Source organism: Homo sapiens, chromosome 21 (assembly GCF_000001405.40).
Source record: "Homo sapiens chromosome 21, GRCh38.p14 Primary Assembly".
NCBI classification, from domain to species: domain Eukaryota; kingdom Metazoa; phylum Chordata; class Mammalia; order Primates; family Hominidae; genus Homo; species Homo sapiens.
In genome coordinates, this window is record NC_000021.9 from 25637908 (window position 1) to 25659794 (window position 21887).

Genomic DNA, 21887 nt, shown 5'->3' on the forward strand with positions numbered 1-21887 from the left:
GGGGGATTAGATATTGCGTTATTCAGACTCCATCACTGAGAAAGCATGCAATAAAAATAGCTGTTATTATTTTCTGTCCTCCTGTAACATTTACCATGTGGTATCAGGCATCTTTCCTGATAAGACTCTGTCTCCCCTCAAGACTGTGAGCTTGTTAGCAAGAAAGCCTCTATCTTGTTCATGGTTGTCCTTCAGCATCCAGCACATTGTTGCCATTTGTCAAATGCCTTGGCTGGGTGGCAAATAAATAACTTAGTCAGTTACTCACATAGGATTGCATAGAATTTTTTTAAGTATGACATTTTTGTGTATATTTTTAGGGAGGAGTAAAAGACATATAGCTGTAGCAAGAATTAGAAAAAAGAAGATGCCAACAACTTTTCTTTTTAAGCATCAAATCCTTCTCATTACTGCCCAGAAAAACTGGCATAAGCTGTTGTTAAATCTGTGCCCCTTCTCCTCGGTTGACTGGAGTACGAGTTTTAACATTTTGCCATTTTGACTTTCCTTTCTGGGTCCCCTGGGTCCTCTCCTCCCACCCCCTCCCTGGGTACTAAGTTTTCATCACTGTCACCACGGCAACAGCAAGGATGCCTCATTCCTCACAGTTCTGCACAGCTAAACTCTGGTCGCCTTTGTCCACTGAGCTAGCTGAATTCTTTTTAAATACACCACTAAATCAACTATCTGCTGTACAGAACTTCATCCATTATTCAACCTTTAAAAAAAAACAAAAACAAAAACAAACAAAAAAACAAAAGAAAAAAACTGATGTATACTAATTTCTTCTCCTGGGAATGGCCTTTTTCCAGACCTGCCAATACTCTTGAATACACCATACATTTTTGGTCCCTAGGAACAAATATAAAAATTGCCAGTGTACGTGCGTCCAATGTAAGTGTGGTGCAATTTTAAAGCACGCAACAGAGCATTCATAATGGGTTTCCCTTTTAAAAGCACAGTAGACCAAAAATAAACCTGACAAAGGGCAGCTGTAGAGTTTTAACACGTGGAAAACTCCACAAGCAGCAGTTATGTAACTTGAAAGAAACATGATAAATATTTCACACCATTAGATGAACTTCCAACTCTGACACTGAAAAAAAAGCAAAGAACAAGAACGCGAGACAAATGCACCTCAAATCTCCAAGGAGCAAAAAGCTTAAACTGAGAAGGGACCAAGGCTGTACTAAAATCTGAGACCTGACTTCCAGCACGAGTCTTGATTGCTTTTTTTTTTCTCGAGTTCGAGGCGGAGCCCGCGAACCCCATCTCCTCAGAGCGCCACCCCCTCAGCTTCGCCCGTTGGGCAGAATTTTCCAAATATCTCCACCCCTAGGCTGAAAAGCCAGAAAGAAGTTTTGAGCCAACGAGGGGAAGAAAGGAGTTGGGGCAAAACAGGAGGCGTTTCCCTACCCGCATACATCCCCGTCCCCGAGACACCCAATCCCCCCACCCCCAGCCTGCCCGCGCCTCCCGCCCCCAGCTCCTCGCCCTGGGGACAGCTGGCAGCCCCGCGCGGACCAGACACAAAGCCGATCAATCCCGGAGGCGTGGGGGCGGAGGGACGACCCGCCGGGGCTTTCCCGGGCGCTGCTCTCCTCCTGCTGCCCCCTCGCTAGGACCCGGCGGACGCCTCGTCTGGTTTTCACGCCCTCTAGCCCCTACCCCCACACCCCCAAAACAGAACAGACCCCCATCCCTGGGCTGGAGGACCCGCCTCTTGGCAGCCAGCTGAGAAGGCGCCCCGGGGAGGGGGAAACTGACATCCCATCTAGAGCCGTCCCTCCTCTTCCTCCCCTCCCGACTCTCTGCTCCTTTCCCGCCCCAGAAGTTCAAGGGCCCCCGGCCTCCTGCGCTCCTGCCGCCGGGACCCTCGACCTCCTCAGAGCAGCCGGCTGCCGCCCCGGGAAGATGGCGAGGAGGAGCCGCCACCGCCTCCTCCTGCTGCTGCTGCGCTACCTGGTGGTCGCCCTGGGCTGTAAGTTGCTCGGGTTCCTCTACCCTTCCTGCCTGGACCAGCCTGCCCCCACCCTCCAGCCCCCCACGGGGCGCTGGCTGACAGTGTCTGGGCGGCTCTGGGCCGAGGTCGCCGCGGGGCGTCTGACCTTGCGCCCAGGCGAGCGGGAAACCCAGGGTGCCCGCGAGCGGACGCTGGGAGCAAGGGAGCGCGAGGTCGTGGGTTTCTTGTGAATTGCGTCTGATTTTGTCAGTTCTAGATACAGAAAATTAAGGGTTCCCACTAGCAGGTTCTCATCTGTTTGCAAAGTTGGGGTAAGTTTTCAGACAGAGGGACGTGATTCGAATGCAAAACTCACTACCCACTGGTAAGATGCTAAGACCCCAAGAAAGATGGCATCACTGGGAGGCGGGCGCCGGCCACACTTTGAGTCCCCGGGGAGGGGGCAGCGTCCGCGTGGTCTGGGCTCTGTAGCGTCCCAGCTGAGCCGGCGATATGCAGCGCACTTGTGGGGCGGAGGTGGAGGGAATTCGTGGCTGCTGAGCCAGAATTACTTTTATCCTCTCCACCTGCACATCTACATTCACTTAGAGAAGTCTGGTCTGGGGACTCTAGCCAGCTGCTCTGTCCTCAGGGGACATCCAACGGGACGATTGTTAGAAAGATTCAGAAGCCACATGATCCAGTAGCTGGGGAGACGTCCCAAAGCCAATTTCACCGGATGATTTTAAACAGGATTTTCACGGATTCTGGACTCATGAGATTTGAAATCCTGGGAACGTTGCCGTTATTTTGTTTTCTTCGCGTTAACTTTTTAGGAAAATGGAGGAAATTACAATAGACTAAGCAATGCAGTTCTACTTTTGCTTTTTCTTTTTTCTCTCACCTTTTTTGTTTTGCTTTTTTCCCTTCCTTCCTTCCTCCCTTCCTTTCTCTTTCTTCTTTCTTTCTCTCTCTCTTTCTTTCTGTCTCTCTTTCTTTCTTTTGTAAAATGAGTTATTGTTGCTATTCACGTTCTGGTAAAGTAACACTTATAATACTTAACCTGCGGGACGAGTGTCTAATACCACAATACAATGATATTTTCTCACGCCCTCGCTGCCCAAGTGATCATCGCACAGCTCAAGTGATGTGAGCCACGTCCCTTTGTGGAGGAGGAAGGTGCACATTGTCTCAGGCAAGGGACATGTACTGACCAATATTATATAAAGTCAAACCAGAAAGCCAAAGTTTCACAATGAAACCCTTGTGCAATTCTGAAATATCAATTGGTATCATATGGAACACACAGAAGAAAAAAAATGCACTCATGCTAAAAGGCAACAGAGAGGTAGGCTGGAGAAATCGTTAACAGAACAACTGAGAAAGTTATGTATTCTGCTGAAATTCTAAATTTCAAATAGAAAAGAGTGTGCCTTTTAGTGTAGAATTGTCACTAATTAAAAACAGAAAATCGTTCTGCTGTGCTATTCCTATTGAATCACCAACATAGAAACAATACACCCCAAGTCTGAAATTGTAGTGGAGAAACAACCAAGAGGCGAACAAAAGCATAAATGAATGGGGCTGAGTGACCTCTTCAAGCTTTAGGTAAATATAACACATTGTCTCTGCTAAACTTGATTCCTATAGGGGATGTATTTGGAAGTGTTGTGGGGACTTTTCTATATTGTTCCTGGGATACTAAAAGATCTGGCATTGCAAGAGTGTTTTCTTTGTATGTGGGTGTTTTTTTTTTTATGTTTAAAACAATTTTAGAACAGTTTGGATTTAAATAAAAATTCCAACGCTAGTATAGAGAGTTCTCATATACTCCACACCCAGTTTCCCACATTGTTAATATCTTACATTAGTATGGTACACTTTATTCAAATTTCCTTCATTCTTACCTAATGCCTTTTCTATTCCAGGATGCCATCCAGGCTACCATATTACATTTAGTTGTCCTGATTCCTTAGGTTCTTCTTGGTTGTAACAGTTTCTTAGGCTTCCCTTGCTTTCTCTTACTATAATGGGTTTGAGGAGTTCTGGTCAAGTATCTGGTAGAATGACTGCGAATTGCTGTTTCTCTGATATTTTTCTCATAACTAGACTGGGGTTATAGGTTTTTTGGAGGAAGATCAGAAAGTGGTAAGGGGCCTAGGTAAAGTGACATTTTCATCACATTATCTCCAGGGAACATACCGTACACATGACTTATTGCTGTTGATGTGAACCTAGGTCACCTGTAATCATACTCCTAATGTAGTGCATACCAGTTTTCTCCACAGATTACCTACCCTTTTTTCTTCATTTCCATACTAGATTTTTTTGGAAGGAAGTCACTACATGCAACCCACACTTCTTCAGGAAGGAGAGTTATGCTCCATCTCCTTGAAGGCGGAGTATCTTCATAAATTATTTGGAGCTCTTCTGCATGGGAGATGGGTCTCTCCCTTCCCTTCATTTATTTATTTAATCATTTATTTTTCTATCAGTATGGGCTCATAAATATTTGTTTTATACTTTGGGTTATAATCCAATACTATTTTATTTATTAAAGACTTAGTGGATTTCTTATGCTGTTATTACATATTCATCTTTTTAATATTCTTCCCAGATGTAACTGTGCCATTCTTTTGGCCACTCCTATCATTTATAATATCATGCTTACTCCCTTCTTTCCTTTTTATCCTGCTGTTTATCAGCATTCTTTATATCTTTCTTAGTAGTCTGGAGGATTGCTTTTTTGTTGTTGTTCTTGTTATTTAAACGATGATGTCAGTATCCCTGTTGATATATGGATATTTTTGTGTGTGTTTAGTTGAATTACATTTTTCTTTCCCACTCCATTAGGAAAGGAATTTCTTGATGTTTGCTCACCACTATATGTCCAGTGCTGAGCAAAGTTCCTGGTTAATAGTAGGTATAAATATATGCCTGTTGATTCTATGGTGCCTTAGTCCATTCAGGCTGCTGTAACAAAATACCATAAACGGAGTAGCTTATAAACAACGTTTATTTCTCACAGCTCTGGAGGCTGAGAAGTTCACAATCAAGATACCAGCAAATTCAGTGTCAGGCAAGGGCCCACTTCCTGGTTCATAGATGGAGCCTTCTCAGGGTGACCTCCCATGGCGGAAGAAGCAAGGCAGCTCTGAGGTCTCTTTGTAAGCGCACTGTTGTCATGACCAGATCACGGTCCAAAGCCTTCAACTCCTAATACCATCACATTGGTGATTAGATTTCAACATATGAATGTGGGGGGACATAAACCACAGCAGATGGAATGGGGATGAGGTAGGGTAGGTAAAAGAAGTGTATAGATTGAACTGATTGCAATATAAATCATGAAGCTCTAACTTCATGTTAAGTAGGTGGAGTGTTAGATTTCTCTGAGGCATCATTTAAGCTGATATGTCAAAAAATAATAGGAATGAGTATTCCGTGTTTGGTGGGGTGTTGTCATGCCTTTTGGGGTCTCTCAGAGCCAAGGAGCTGATCATGAATCAGTTCCTGATTCCACCTAACCAGTAGCAGCTGGTCCTCAGATCTGGACTGGAACCTGATCCAGGCGCTTAGCCTGAGTCTAATCTCTCATCAACTGATAAAGATTGTGGTAGGGGAGAGAGGTCTGAATCTTTTGTAAAATCACAAGGTTCTGCCTTTTTGCCAGAACTGACCCAAAACAGCACTCCAGGGAACCGGTACTAGGAAAATTCTGCCCTCTGTATCTATTGTTAAGAAGCAACTGCCATAATCAATTTGCTGGAGAGAAGTGGTTCCGTGCTGGCACAGTCTCAATTATCTGATGAACAGAAACGCTAAAATGGGCTTGTAGGTGGATTTAACAACCATTTCAAGACTATGAAAGAAATTATATTAGAAAGAATGAAGTCAAAAACAAAAACTTCAGCCTGAGCACAGTGAGTTCCCTATGACTGAAAACACTCATTTATCCTCCCACATGAGCAGTTTAATGAGAGGAGCCCACAGGAGCTTACGGATGTTCACCACCCATGGTTTCCATTGCATTGGTTTCCTCCTGTGGGCCTTCCTCATAGAGAAGATGTATTGGAATATAGAGGTAAGAGCTGCTAGCTTTATTGAAGTCAGACCACCAGGAAGCTATAAAGGCCATTCTTAAAATAATATTTTTTCATCCCATAGCAATATAGTAGTAACACTGCTGAGTCAATACTCCAGTATACCCCTCTTGCTAGACTGATGTTTTGAGGAAGATGGTGGTGAAGATGGAAAAGGGGAATCAGAACCTGGGTCAGGTGCCTCCTTTGGCAAAAGCAGCAAAATAAAACTTAAAACCAGGGATTGTTTTCTTGGACGGTGTTACTGTTAACAAGGCTAGAACTCAGAAAAAATAACCCAACTGTATTACTTTTCTATTTCTGTGAAACACATGACCAAAAACAAAACAATACAAATTGATTGTCTTAAACTTCTAGAGGTCAGAAGTCTGAAACAGGTCTCACTGGCCTAAAATCAAGGTATCAGCATGAAGCATTCCTTCTGGAGGTTCTAGGGCAGAATCTGTTTCCATGGCTTTTCCAGCTTCTGGAGGCGCCCCACTCACGGCCCTGTCCTGCCAGGCTGCCACCTGTCCCCACTCACGGCCCTGCGACACCAGGCTGCCACCTCTCTTGTTCTCTCTCTTCTGCTTCCTTCTTCCACTCATCAGGACCCTTGTCATTACCTTGGGCTTACCTGAGTAACTCTGGATAATTTATCCATTTCAAAGTCAGCTGGTTAGCAACTTTCATCCATCTACAACTGCAATTCCTATTTACCATGTAAAGTAAGATATTTATAGGTTCTGGGGAGTAGGATGTGGACATCTTTGTGGGGCTATTATTCTGTTTCTCACAGCAGCCAAAATGAGGTTATGCACAGCGACAGTGTTTTCAGTGCTGTAGCCAAGAATATTCTAGATTCCATGAAGCCACCATAACTTTTACCTTTAAAGTATAACTCATAGTGATATAAAGCTGGTTGGTTTTTTGGTTTTGTTTGTTTGTTTGTTTGTTTGTTTTATTTGAGATGGAATCTTGCTCTGTCACCCAAGCTGGAATGCAGTGGCGCAATCTCAGCTCACCACAACCTCCACCTCCTGGTTTCAAGCAATTCTCCTGCCTCAGCCTCCTGAGTAGCTGGGATTATAGGCTCCCACCACCACGCCCACCTAACTTTTGTATTTTTAGTAGAGACTGGGTTTCGTCATGTTGGCCAGGCTGGTCTTGATCTCCTGACCTCAGATGATCTGCCTGCCTTGGCTTCCCAAAGTGCTGGGATTACAGGCGTGAGCCACCGCGCCTGGCCTAAAGCTATATTTTTTATTAGTTGTATTTCAAATTGCATAGTATGGTGGTAAAGAACATGCACTCCAATGCAGCACTCTGTGCTCTTACCAGCTGTGTGATCTTATACAGGTTAACACCTGTATTATGTCAGTTTACTCATCAGTGTTGGTGATAATCCCAATAAGAGTGCTTACCTCATAGAGGTTTAGGGAGAATTACATGTATAACACACTTAGTAAACTGAAGAAGCCATTGAAGCCTTTTGACATTGAATATCAGTTTGATTTGCATTTTAAAGAGAATGCATTGGATGGAGTATGGTGAATGGAAGGATTGGGGTGGGGGGAGTCAAACTGGGGAGACCAGTTAGAAGTTATTGGAGTAGTCCAGGCAATTGCTTGTGTAAGTACTTATTTTATATAGTTTATTGATAAATATACTCACATAATTACACATACACATATAACCACTGACAATTGCTTTTTACAGTTGTCACCTAATGATGCGATGTGTTCTGAGAAATGTGTCGTTAGGTGATTTTGTTATTGTGTGATCATAGAGTGTACTTACAGAAACCTAGATGGTAGAGCCTGCTGCACACCAAGGCTATATGGTGTAGCCTATTGCTCCTAGGCTACAAACCTATACAGCATGTTACTGTACTGGATACTGTAGGCAACGGTAAACAGTTGTAAGTATTTGTGTACCTAAACATATCTAAACATGGAAAAGGTACAGTAAAAACAGCACAAAAGATAAATGGTACACCTGTGTAGAAACATATCATGAGTGGAGCTTGCAGGACTAGAAGTTGCTCTGAGTGAGTCAGTGAGTGAGTGGTGAGTGAATGTGAAGGCCTGGGACATTACTGTATACTACTGTAGACTTTATCAACACTGTACACTTAGGCTACACTAAATTTATAAAACAATAAAGTTCTTGTGTTACAGCAGTACGGGCGTTATAGCATCACTAGATGATAAGAATTTTTCAGCTCCATTATAATCTGTGGGACCACTGATATGGTTCATTGTTGACCAAAATGTCATTATGCAGTGCATGACTGCATTTGAAATGTAGTTAATTAAATCTGATCAGGAATTTAAGAAAAATGGCTCTTTGGTTTTTAAGGAAAAAATTTTTTAATCATGTGTGCTGTGTTTTCAACTTTCTGTTCAGTTCCCAACCTATAAACATGAAACAGTAGCTCTTTTGGTTACTATGTATACCTTCTTTCAATGTTATTCTCTCTCCCACACGTAAGTTTATTTTCAGTATTTGTTTCCAGTGTTTCCAGAGTTTCCCTGAGTTGTCACCCTTAGAATGGTCATTTTACTTGATTTGATATTCAGAAGAGTGGCCTTCTAAGTTCCAAAGTGTGTGAGTGTATGCATGCATCGGGTGTGGGGGGAAAGAGAGAGAGAGAGAAGGAGAGAGAGAGAGAGAGGGAGGATGGATGGATGTGTGCTCAGATAAATGCCTGCTGACAGCAACACAAAACCCTACTCTATGAATCTTCAGGCCAGTGAATGGGTAGGAAATGCTCTCCAGTTTGAATTGTTCCTACATTTTATGAGCAGAGAAGCAAATCCTGTGAAAGTATTTCAAGAGCTGCCCTCTTAGCTGTCCATTGTCTTGGCTCAGAAAGTCCTAAGGAAGAATCCTTGTAAACTTAACAGACAGGAATTTTGGTTTTTACTGGAGAGCTCTGCTTTTCTTTATCGCATGTCATCAGCATCAAATTTTTATTTGTTTTGTTGGGTTTTCTGTTTTGTTGTAGTTGTCAAAATTTTCTACTGGGATAATTTAGGACGGGCTTGTCTTTATATTTGTAAGGAGTAAAAATGCATAACCTGGTCTGTCTTCTTTATGCTAGGTTTGTCCAATTTGCTTGCTTTCATTTTGTCAATGCAGTCACCTGCTGTTTTTACTCTTCGCTTTCTTCACATTGTGAAACTTCCTAAATACATACTATGGACAAAACCAAAGATAAAAATGAATGAATTGTTAAACACATTTTCTTATATGTCTAACTAAAAATAATATATGCTTAGGGTAAATTCAAACAGAGCAGTAAGTTTACAAAACAAGAAATAAGTCTCCTTTCCAGCCTTCCTGACTCCTTTGCTTCTCAGATAGACCATCCTTAAGTTTCCTGCAAATGGTTTCAGGAAATTAGAAAAGAAATAGTTCCAGTATATATAAGCATACTCTTATAATTTCTTTAGAAATAAAGATCACAATTTATTATGCTTACTGCTGTATACCTTCCAGAAAATCAAATCATATTATATATAGTGTTGTGCACCTTGCTCCAAAAAGTTATTTATGTTAGTAATTAAGGTACAACCTAAAGCTCAGTCTACAAGCAGGACAGAAGATAACATCTTATAGAGGCCTTTAAAATTGTTGCACCAAAATGCAGTGGGAGCTATTTTCTAACTAGAACCACCAAAAATAATGGAACAAAATGATTAGTAAAACAAAGGGAAATAAACTTCCAAACCAGTAACCAAATATGGAAAGGGAAAAATTCCAAGCAAGATCCAGTTAAAAAGTCCAAAGGAGAACGTGTGTGCACCCAGAGAGGACAGAGACACTAGCACCAGCTAAGATTCACAGACAAGTGCAAAGGGGTGCTATTTTTAAAGGAGACCAAAGAGGAAATAATGACCACAAATAAAAAGGGAACATGTCAAACTTCTGGGCAAGTGCTAAATTTGAAAAGAGAGAATGGTGTTTATGTTTTTTAAAAAATGCACTAGAGGGCTGGGCGCTGTGACTCACGCCTGTAATCCCAGCACTTTGGGAGGCCAAGACGGGTGGATCACCTGAGGTCAGGAGTTTGAAACCAGCCTAGCCAACGTGGTGAAACCCTGTATCTACTAAAAGTACAAAAAGTAGCTGGGCATGGTGGCATGCACCTGTAGTCCCAGCTACTCAGGAGGCTGAGGCATGAGAATCACTTGAACGTGGGAGGCGGAGGTTGCAATGAGCTGAGATTGTGCCACTGCACTCCAGCCTGGGCAACACAGCAAGATTCTGTCTCAAAAAAAAAAATTCACTAGATGCATTTTCAAATAGGAATGGATTTTGATCAGAAGCAGAACTGACACAATGGAATAAACAATAACTCAAGTATGCATTTGTCCAATAACTGAAACATGCAGCCATCTATGTCATAAAACATTAAAATTGTACCTAAGCATATTGGAGACATGAGATTATTGTACTGTCCATATAGTGCTTTTGGATCCAGAACAAGTCAGGTTCTTTTGTGCCGTGTGTTTGTGTGTGTGTGTGTGTGTGTGTGTGTAAACGAGTGAACATCTATGCCATTTTATCTAGATACAGTACTTCTTCCCAACCTCCATTCATCTCTGTTGTTGTTGCTATTGTTCCTCATATGGCCAAATGCAATTTCTCCCTGAAGGTCTAACTCCAAAATTCCTTGCGCCTTCTCTTAATTCTTTCCAACTCATCAATTCCTCAAAGCTGATGTCTACTGTATATTATACTCTGGTGCTTTTGGTATATTCTTTATTCTCTTATGGCACTTACTGAGCTGTACTGTTACAATTTTTCCATGTATATCTCTCTGTATTGTGAGCTTGCTGGAGGCAGAGACAACACATCTTTAGGTCGTTGGTACCTAGAGTACTGCCTGGCACATTTAATACTTGATTAAGTAGAATTACATAAGCTGGAATTTAATGTTTATTTGTTTTGTAGCTTCATAAAATTATATAACTTTTTAGCAATAAAAACCTCAAGACATATGTAAAATTAATAGTCTCAAATGAATGCATAATATTACTGCTCCTAAAACTCCCTCCTCCTCTTTTTAACAGTGGCCTCCCTAAGATATAAGGAAATATAAAGACTGGTCTGCCTTATAGGATTTTAAGAAATTTTCCAGATTTCCTGATGCCTCCTTATATCCTAAAAGCACATAAGTTCCTCTTGAATTAGTAAGCATTGATTAAAAACTCAGATGAGTCAAACAATACACCCCTCAAAAGTTGCTTAATCTAGACTAGAACAAAGCACGTATTAGTGTGTTCTCACGCTGCTGTAAAGGACTGCCCAAGACTGGGTAATTTACAAAGGAAAGAGGTTTAATTGACTCTCAGTTTCGCATGGCTGGGGAGGCCTCAGGAAACTTACAATCATGGCAGAAGGGGAAGCAAACACATTCTTCTTTACTTGATGGCCGGAAGCAGAAGTGCCGAGCAAAAGCGGGGAAAGCCCTTTATAAAATCATCAGATCTCATAAGAGCTCATTCACTATCATGAGAAAAGAAAGCATGGAGGTAACCACTTCCATGATTCAATTACCTGCCACCGTGTCTCTCCCACAACATGTGGGGATTATGGGAACTACAATTCAAGATGAGATTTGGGTGGCGACACAACCAAACCGTATTAGCATGTTAGTTGTAAAAGTTCTACTCTCTGGAGCAGGGAATCTCCAGACTTTCCCCTCATGGCCTAATCTCTTTGTTACTCAATTGATATAATAGCAATCTATATCCCATAATGAGCAAAAGTTTATTAAGAGAGATGAGACAATAGAGACTGTTTTAGTCTATTTCTGTTGCTGTAACAGAACACCTGAGACTGGGTAATTTATAAACAAAAGAGGTTTACTTGGCTCCCAGTTCTGGAGCCTGGGAAGTTCAACATTGGGCAGCTACCTCTGGCAAGGCCCTCATGCTACATTAAAGCATAGTGAATGGCATCACATGTGGAAACACCTGCAGGAGCAGCAAGCAAGTATGTGCAAAAGAGACAAAACACAAGTGATGGCCTCATTTTTTAACAACCTGCTCTTGCAGTTACTAATCTAGTCCCATGAGAACAAGAACTCATTTGCTTCTGTGAGAATTAACCCAGTCCTATGAGAATGGGACTAATATCTTCGTGAGGGTGGCAGAGTCTTCATGACCCAAACACCTCTTAAAGGTCCTACCACCTCTCAACACCATTATACTGGGAACTCAATTTCCTATACATGAATTCTGAGGAACACATTTAAACCATTGTAGAGCCTGATAAAGTGATCTTCATTTCCAAATCAAAGATGATTTTCCTAGGTGTTCTTGTCCAGTATTTTTATAGGTTGGTGCAAAAGTAACTGCAGTTTTAGCCGTTACTTTTAATGATTTTGTGGGATCTTGACACTTGCTCATTAGCACTTAAAAAATTACCCCTGGATCCAGGTGAGTCATTGTCTCTGCCAAGAATCTCATTCAGCATTAGGCAAATGCCAAAATCAGATACATGTAAGAATCTCAGCTCCATTGTGCTACTGCCACCCAGGACAGCTATCTAAAGATGCTGGCATGTTCAAAAAACACTGAATCAGTGATCTTCAAACTTTTTTATATTACATATCCTACTTCATTTCTTAAAAGAGGATATGTCCTGACGTGTGTTTTAATAAATTGTAATATGTATTTCTGTATCAACATATTAATCATAAAACATATAATACATAGAATAAATATCAAATGAATGAGACAATGGAGAATTAATAATACACTAACGGGGCAGAAATGAAGTGGTTATAGCCCTATATTATAGTGTTCTATAAAGCCTCTATAAGTAAAATAATGTGAGATTGGTACATGAATAGACAGACAAGCCAATGGAAGAGTATATAAAGTCCGGAAATTATGCCAACTTCATTTAGAAATCACGTGTATGTGTGTATGTGTGTGTAAAATGGTAGCATTTGAAACCATGGAGAATGCTTAATCAATATTGTTACAACTGGGAACCATTTGAGGGAAAAATGGATCAGAACCTGATATTCTCCATGAGAATTAATTTCAAATGGATCAGAGATCTAAATGTAAATAGGTAAATAAATAAATAAAACCATACCTCCCCCCGCCAAAAAAAAAAAAAAAAAAAAAACAAAGTATGGATCTGTTCTTCTGTAAACTGGACTATAAATCAAATGAGTGTCTGCATGGAAAAAATAAAACACCCTAAACAAATCCAAAGATAAATGACTAATTGGGAAAGGATATTTGTAAGTTACATCTCTGACAGAGTATTATCACTGATATAAAAGGAACCCCTAAAAATTAAAATACAAATATCAAAATTTTATAAATGGCACACAAAAAACCCAGAGTTCCCAGAAGAAAAATTTAAATGGTTCTTCAAATATGAAGCTTTTCTCAGTATAACTTAAAATGCAAATTAGATTGTCCCAAAGATAGCACTTCTTCCCTTAGCAAAATCACATAAACTCATCCACATACTCTGTTATTGAAGTTGTATGGAAATAGGCATTCTACATACTGCTGATGGAGCTGTGAGATGATACAACTGCTATGGAGCAGCAATATGTAGAAAAATTCTACATCTAGCCTTTGACCCATCATATTCAGCAATATGTAGAAAAATTCTATATTTGCCCTTTGACCCATCAACCCCGTTACTGGGAACCTGTGTTAAAGCTGTAGTTGCAAAAACAGGACATGCTTTATGCATGGTGTTATTTCTTTTTTATGCATTGTATTATTTATTTCACAACTATTATAAAAATGATTGAAAACAAATGCCCATTTATAGGGGATTGGCTAAATAAATAACACAATGGTAGGCACTGTAGCGATATAAAGGAATGATGGTGATCTCTCTGTACTGTCATCTCCAAAATATAGTAAGTGAAAAAAGTAAGATGCAGAACAATCTAGTGCAACATGCTACATTTTGTGTATGACAGAAACACTGGCAGGTTAAACTGTTAACTAATGAAACTATTAACAATAGGTAGAACAGGAATGGAACAGACTTCTCTTACTATGTATAGCTTATTACATAGATTTCATTTTGAAATTTTAAATGTTTTATTTCAAAAGATAAAATTCACTAAAATAGCCTTCCCTAAAAATGGAAAACAAATGGAAATAAATGAACTTACTGAGCTGGGCATGGTGGTTTACACTTGTAATCCCCATACTTTGGGAGGCCCAGGCAGGAAGATTGCTTAAGACCAGGAGTTCAAGACCAGCCTAGGCCATATAGGAAGGCCACGCCTCTACAAAAAAGAAAAATAAATAAAAATTAGCTGGGCATGGTGGCATGCCTGTAGTCTCAGCTACTCACGAGGCTGAGGTGGGAGGTTTGCTTGGTCCTGGGAGATCGAGGCTGTGGTGAGCTGTGATTGTGCTACTGCACTCTAGCGTGGGTGACAGAGAAAGATGCTGTCTCTAAAAGAAAAAAAAAGAAATAAGGAAATGAACCTACTGTATATCAAATTAGTGATATAACCACATAAAGGAAATAATTATTTCAATCTGAACCTAAAAACATAATATTCCACCAAACAGTAGAATATATCTTAAGGACAAAAATAGCTACAAATATGTTTTAAACTTTAGTACTTTAAAATAATGATTTTGTTATTTTGACACTATGTTATATTATAGGAAATACAAATCAGTAATTATACTAATGTAAATAGAAATTAAGATTTTTAGTGTAGAAAAAAGAGATATATGTATAAAGTTTTTAAAAATTAAGTACAGGTCCTATAATGTTCTATCTGATTTGGAAATGTTCTATTTGAATTGAGTTTGAACTCACAATGCTTTCCTCTTTTCAAAGCTGCTTTTCCTATCTGTCTACTAAAAAGGCCCAGAAGACATCACAGCCTGTATCAATCAGCTTTGAAGAAGTAACAGATAACCTTAAAAACCTCAGTAGTTTGCCACCATATGCATTATATATTTGGCTTGTATTCCATTTTGGTGGCTCCAGATCAGCTGCTGAGTCTTTTCTCTACAATCTTCTTTTTCCAGGACTCAAGCTGAAGCAATTGACCCTGTTTGGAACAGACTGTCCTTGTGGCCTAGGGAAAAGCAAAGGACAAAGCTTAGCTCTGTCCTTAACAGCTCTAAAAGCTTCTACTTAACATGATATGTGCCCATTGGTCAAAGCACATCACGTGGCCAAACGTGGAACTGGGATGGAGAATTGTGTTCTGCCTGCTGGGAGGCCCTAGAAATCATACAATAATAAATGAGAAGGGAGTTAGGAGTTGAGGATAATAATATAAACTATTCTACAACCCCTTGAAAATGAGCATACTTAGCATATAGACTATAATCCCTAAATACCATTCCACACTAACAATGACTAGGAAACTTTGGAGGGACACCTGACTCCAGTTTTAAGGTTAGGCAATTTAAGATGAGCCTGGGACGGTTTGTTGCCCTGGTGTATTAGTCTGTTTTCACACTGCTATAAGGAACTGCCAGAAACTGGGTAATTTATGAAGAAAAGAGGTTTAATTGACTCACAGTTCAGTGTGGCTGGGGAGGCCTCAGAAAACTTAAAATCATGGTAGAAGGCAAAGGGGAAGCAAGGCACCTTCTTCACAAAGTGGTGGCAAGAAGGACAATGCCAAGTGAAGGGGGAAGAGCTCTTTATAAAACCATCAGATCTTGTGAGAACTCACTATCATGAGAACAGCATGAGAGAAACTGCCACCATGATTGTTACCTCTATCTCGTCTCTCCCTTTACACGTGGGGATGATGGGGATTATGGGGATTACAATTCAAGATGAGATTTGGGTAGGGACACAAAGCCTAACCATATCACTTAGAAAGCAAGGTAGCTATCAAAGACTAATGAGATTGTGCCCAAAGGACAAAGGAATTAACCTAAAAAGTCTTTCTTTAGCCAAACTGGAGGCAAGATGAGAGTCAAAAGAGAAAACATATACTGAATGCAATTGATTTAAATGTGTTGAATTTATTTCAAAATGCATTAATTATAAAGATACAAAAAAGAAAATCAATAAAATGTTTAAAAGTCATCACACTTTGGTCACCATTAGAATTAACTAGGTCAGTTACTCCTTACCCTGATATTTGGCAATCAAAATAAATACTTATCTTTATTCTGCTTTCTTTTAGGCATGTATGTGTAACCACATAGCCTTAACTTAGAAGGAAAAGTTCTTCTTTATAGAATTCAAGCTAATGAATGTCAAAGAAAATAGATAATGAAAAAATAATAGAATCTAATCATCATTTGCAGCATGTAATTGACTTAGGGTATGATTATTAATGGCTAAAATCATTAGACAAAATGTTGATTGGAGCTTTACAATGGAAGGATCAGTCTGTTATCACCTGAAACACTGATTAATCTTAGCATCATTGAAAGTAGGACAACCAGGGCAGGTGCTGTGGCTCACGCCTGTAATCCCAGCACTTTGGGAGGCTGAGATGGGTGGATTACTTGAGGTCAGGAGTTGAGACCAGCCTGGCCAACATGGTGAAACCCCCTCTCTACTAAAAATACAAAAATTCGCCAGGTGTGGTGGCTCGTGCCTGTAATCTCAACTACTTGGGAGGCTGAGACACAAGAATCGCTTGAACCTGGGAGGCAGAGGTTGCAGTGAGCCAAGACTGTACCACTGCACTCTAGCCTGGGCAACAGAGTGAGACTTTCTCTCAAAAAAAAAAAAAAAAAAAAAATTGGAAGCACATAGCACTCCCTGTGTAATATTCTTGCCCATCCCTCCAAAAAAAGAAAATGACCTTCACTTGAATGAAGCCTCTCAGCAAGCGAACTTTCATTACAGAAGGATAGATGCACAAATTAAATGACACCACAAGGTAGCACGTGCATGAACTCAGAAAGTGGGTTTTTCTGCAGAATAACTGACCAGGTTTCTGCAACAAGTCAGTGGCATGAAAGGTAAAAACAAAGGGGGAGAGAGGAAAGAGCAGGTCGGTGCTAGATGAAACACATGCATCTAAAGGCCTAAGAAGCAAATGTGATGCTGACATGTAGTGTGTATCCAGATTCAAATAAGACATCAGGGAAATGTGGCTAGATATTAAATTATAACAAGGAATTATTTTTGTTAGTTGTTCAAATGGTGTTATAGTTATATGTCTTTAATCTTTAGTGGTGCTTGCTAAAGTAATAAAGACAATTATTTGATATATATGATTTGCTTTAATATTCTTCAATAAAGTAAATGTAGTAAACATGATAAAATCTTTATAACTTTAATCTGGATGATGACTATATGGTGTTTATTGTTTATTGTCTCTATTTTTGTATATATTTGAAAATTTTCTTAATAAAAAACTATTTAAATCCATAAAATAGAAAAAAGATAGTAACATGATAAATATACTGAAATTCTATTTTTTTTTTTTTTTTTTTTTGTCCTTGAAGCCCTCTGGTCTTTTTTGTATGCTCCACTTTTCACCCTATAGGTTTAAAGAGAAAATAAATAGAACAAAGTGAATTTACTTGAAATATTTGAAACATCAGCTCTTTTTTTTTTTTTTTGAGACGGAGTCTCACTCTGTCACACAGGCTGGAGTGCAGTGGCGCCATCTCAGCTCAGTGCAATCTCTGCTTCCCGGGCTCAAGCGATTCTCCTCCCTCAGCCTCCCGAGTAGCTGGGATTCTAGGCGTCTGCCACTACGCCCAGCTAATTTTTTTTTTTTTTTTTTTTTTTTTTTTAGTAGAGACGGGGTTTCACCCTGTTGGCCAGGCTGGTCTCGAACTCTTGACCTCAGGTGATCCGCCTGCCTTGGCCTCCCAAATTGCTGGGATTACAGGTGTGAGCCACCGTGCCCAGTCGAAACACCAGCTCTCTTAAATCCTGTGCCTTAACCAGGGTAGTCAGTATAAGAAATGCAAATTATGTTTGAATAGTCCCTTTTAAAAAGCTATTTATTTAGTCTATTTCCCACTAATAGTTTTTTTTTTTTAATGCCTTTTAAAAAAAGAGAAAAGAAAACCAATTCAACCCTGTCATCAGCTAGAACTGCAAGATCCTGGGTTATACAGCAAAGTCTGTTAGTAAATCCACTGCATAGGAGCTACATTTTTTTTTTAATGATGTAGCGTGGACCTTTCAGTGAATTTCTTTTGAAAGGGACTTTAATATTTTATTCCCTAAAATGTTAAAATACTCATCAGATGAATGCATGCCACATTCATAGACTGATGGCAAGAAAAAGTGAATATAAAAAAAGAGTTGATTAAATTCCTAAAAATTTAAAATGTTTGTCTTGCATTTGTTTAGTGGAGACTGGTTCCATCAAGGTCCTCTTGTCCACCCCCAGGCTCCTTCTAAACAAGTAAAGAGAATACCTGCAGATATCTTACATTTGACACATCAACTCAAGCACATTTCAAAATTGGCCGTAGTTTCTAAAATATTCATTTAATGTTAAAGTTCTTGTCATTAATAACTTAGTATCAAGCTTCCTGTGAGTTCTTCATATGATTTAATTTCTCATAGTTCCTTTAGCCTTGAAGACCCCAAATCTATAAGGATTCTCTAGAGAAGATGCCGGTTATGGGAAAAGAATGGAAGAAGTAGAGGCATTTAGCAGCCACAATAGAATAGCCTGGGGCCTGTGTCAGCAGCATATGCACACTGTCATTGTAGCCATTTGTGTCAGAAGCTATTTCTGTGCTGGACAACACTTTCTCCAAATACACTATGAATTTATGAGCAAGGGAATGTAGATGTTAATGGAGGAAGAAGTTTCACTTCACCTCCCACTCCTTTGCGTCTTAATTTTAGAGTGGAAGCAAGATTGCATCACAGCCCTCCATGGGATATATATTCAGAGTCCTAATAATTTGAACAATCACATATTATTTGCTTGTACAATTATATATATGTTCAACTATTTATATTTGGCCACAAGTTACCAAAATTTGCTGAGTAATGATGAGACCAATCAAGACCAGCCTTTTTCATTATGTGGGCTAGAATGTTTAAGGAGATTTATTTCTAATTATTAGAAAATGAAAGGACAAAACATTTTGGGAGTGGGCTATTGCAACACTTCTTTTATAGAGCAGTTATCCCACTTATATGAATATTGAATACAAATGTTTCTTTTCAGAGAACAATGGACTTAGATCTATTTTTTTTTTCTTTTTTGGGATGGGATCTCTCTCTGTCACCCAGGCTAGCGTGCAGTGGTGCAATAATAGCCTGTGCTAATTTATTTATTTTTTTGTAGAGATGAGTTCTCACTATGTTGTCCAGGTTGGTCTTGAACTCCTGGGCTCAAGTGATGCTTCTGCCTCCAACTCCCAAAGTGCTGGGATTACAGGCGTAAGCCACTGCAACCAACCTGACTTTCATCTTTTACCTAAAAGAGTATTAGTCACATCTTCTCTTACAAGGTGACTCATGGCAGGTTCAAAAGGACAGGGTTGGTGGACAGAATCACCTTCACTTTTTAAACTCATTAATTTTATGAATTATATTTGTAATATGTATTTGCCAGTGGTACATTATTGAATTCATAAGTTAAATATCCATGTGAAATGTCTCTACTAGATGTTCAAAGGACCTCCTTATATCTAACCACAAACGTCAAATTTTGTTCACAAAGAAGCAAAAAGTATAATATAAATAAAATGGAACTAGAGTTCCAATGGGCTAGATTGAGTCAGTTCTGCCCTTAGTAATCATATGGTTTTAGAAAAGCTACCTTATTGTATGAGTCTTTTTTCCCTCATTTGTTAAATGAAAGGGTTTGATTTAATGATTATTTGTATTGTTTATAATTGAACATTTTATGTTTTTAAATGGGAAAATGTACCATATTTTAGCCTGTTATAATAAAATTATGTTATATGTAGCTAAGAACATGTTTTAAAATTCTAAACTGCCTCCTTTAGAATTCTCATTGGTTAGAACAGAGCCTGTTTTGGAAGGAAGCAAGAAAATAGGCTCCAAAAATGCTGGATATTCATAAAGTTGACTGTATAGCATGTTATAAACTTTTTGTTTGATGCAGTAGGCAACAGGAAGTTGTTGAAGGTTTTGAAGAGTGGAATAATATATCAAAAAATAATATTGGAGATAAACAATAATTTTGCCCCTTACATATAGACTAGACTTGGGAAGAAAGGGTAACTGTAAGGCAGGCCTTAGGTAATGAGATCCAGGATTAAACTGGAGGCTGTCAAAATCGTTTAGGAAAAGTAGAATCCAGAAGACATTGAAAATAGAAATTGATAAAATGCAGTGATTGATTAAATATAGGGGACATCAAAGAAATCAAAACAGTAACTCCAAGGTTGTAAACTTGTAGAACCAGAGAAATCATGGTATTTAATTGAGAAGGAATTATTTATATATATATATTTCAGGAAGCAATAAAATAGCCAACTAAATGTGTCTCTAAAGACCATTGGAGAGTGGATGATCATGATCTGTACCTATCCCCTGTATTTAAGTGGTAAAATGGAAAGAGAAATGTATAACCACTCTGGGAAAAACATGGAGAAGATTAGTAGGAGGCAAAAAACTGAACTCTGGAAAACATACTTGTGAAAGAATATAAAAGAGCAGAGACAATGACAAAACAAGTGCCCAGAGTAATAATGGACAACCAACAGAACCAGTGTCATGGAAGCTGGGGAGGAATTTTGCAATGTCAATTGTTATCTAGAGGTCAGGAAGAATGAAGGGAAAAGATCAGGGTGAATTGTTGGGTAACCTGAGGGGATTAAAAAGTAAAGAAAAAACAAAATTAGCATTTGAATGGAACTTTACAATTGACAAAACACTTTCAGAGGAATTATTTTACTTAATTCTCATGTTAACATTACTGTGAGACCCACAGGACTATTTTTATTCACAGTGTCATAAATGAGAAACACGGGAGCTTAGAGTACTTTTAGGACTTATTCCAAGGCAGGACTTAGAGTTACTTACTCAAAATCCCACATTCTTTGCTATCTGGAAGACAAGGATAAAAAGAACATGCTGGAAAGTACCAACCAATAGTATATTTTCAGTGTCCCTGTCTCTCACCACATATAAATGCCTTCCATATTCACAACTCAAATCAAATTCAAAGCAATATTAACCTGAAGGGTAAGCCATAAGCCTGTAATAAATATTTCATGTTCTGAAAATATTATTTAACTAAATGGGAGAAATATCCAAAAATGAACACATTCCATATTGGAAGGGGTTTATTATCCAATTTAGTCATCCTAACAACATCACAGCAGATCATTTAAAATGAAAATAGAAAACATCCTCATAATTTTCTAGCCTTTTTTTTTTTTTGCTGTAAGTTCATATTAAAAGAATAACATTAATATTGTCTTAAGCAAAGATAAGTATTATTATACGTCATGCATTTCCTAAATTTCAATTATGTGTTATTTTTAAAATTGCTATGTGTGTCTGATGATAGGACACAAGGCTGTGTTTTTCCTTCCTTTTAAAATAAATAAATAACTCTTTTAGCTGATTTCTTTGGTGCCATTTTGTAATTTCTTTTGTCTTTCACTACTTCCCAACTTTAGTTTCCATAGGAACAGGATCAATCGGAAAGCATTTGGGATTCTTTCAAAATGTTGAGTCCAAGATTTCTAATTAGGGTTCAGGCACTTATAGTTTAATTAATATGAGACTTTTTCTGTGTTTTATTTTTGAAGGTGGAAAAAACTGGGTTATGATTTCATAATATGTTTGCCTTTTCAAAGATTTTTATTAGAGATTTGGATCAAAGAGCTTTAAGATCATTTAAAAATGTGTTAATACATGCCTGAAAAAATTAAATATATTATGCATACTATTCTTGACAGATA

General features: G+C 39.0%; 1 protein-coding gene, 1 long non-coding RNA gene and 1 pseudogene across 5 annotated transcripts in view, besides 4 other annotated features; 2 read left to right on the top strand and 1 right to left on the bottom strand.

The window, feature by feature from the left end:
• Positions 984–1123: an enhancer, noted in NCBI's record as "active region_18315". NCBI's record gives its function as "activates an Ori minimal core promoter by ATAC-STARR-seq in GM12878 lymphoblastoid cells {active_cell/tissue: GM12878}" and the evidence as "EXISTENCE:reporter gene assay evidence [ECO:0000049][PMID:35858748]".
• Positions 1344–1533: a silencer, noted in NCBI's record as "silent region_13231". NCBI's record gives its function as "represses an Ori minimal core promoter by ATAC-STARR-seq in GM12878 lymphoblastoid cells {active_cell/tissue: GM12878}" and the evidence as "EXISTENCE:reporter gene assay evidence [ECO:0000049][PMID:35858748]".
• JAM2 (junctional adhesion molecule 2) overlaps positions 1351–21887 on the top strand; it is a 78305-nt gene continuing 57768 nt past the window's right edge. For all 4 annotated transcript variants that reach the window (NR_072999.2, NM_021219.4, NM_001270407.2 and 1 more), the window contains exon 1: positions 1351–1981. Coding sequence is in view for 3 of the 4 variants with exons in the window: in NM_021219.4 (NP_067042.1) it covers positions 1915–1981 (67 nt within the window). In the remaining variant the exon portion in view is untranslated. The remainder of the gene's footprint in view (positions 1982–21887) is intronic.
• Positions 1861–2361: an enhancer, noted in NCBI's record as "H3K4me1 hESC enhancer chr21:27012080-27012580 (GRCh37/hg19 assembly coordinates)". NCBI's record gives its function as "activates a minimal SCP1, AML or CMV promoter by ChIP-STARR-seq in primed H9 embryonic stem cells {active_cell/tissue: H9 hESC(primed)}" and the evidence as "EXISTENCE:reporter gene assay evidence [ECO:0000049][PMID:30033119]".
• Positions 2264–2333: an enhancer, noted in NCBI's record as "active region_18316". NCBI's record gives its function as "activates an Ori minimal core promoter by ATAC-STARR-seq in GM12878 lymphoblastoid cells {active_cell/tissue: GM12878}" and the evidence as "EXISTENCE:reporter gene assay evidence [ECO:0000049][PMID:35858748]".
• On the bottom strand, positions 4941–16730 carry LOC124905001 (uncharacterized). Its single transcript, XR_007067826.1, has 2 exons — positions 14195–16730; positions 4941–9225 (listed from the first exon to the last, which is right to left on the bottom strand). It is a non-coding gene; the product is annotated as an uncharacterized LOC124905001 (long non-coding RNA).
• RNGTTP1 (RNA guanylyltransferase and 5'-phosphatase pseudogene 1) lies at positions 5638–6312 on the top strand (annotated as a pseudogene).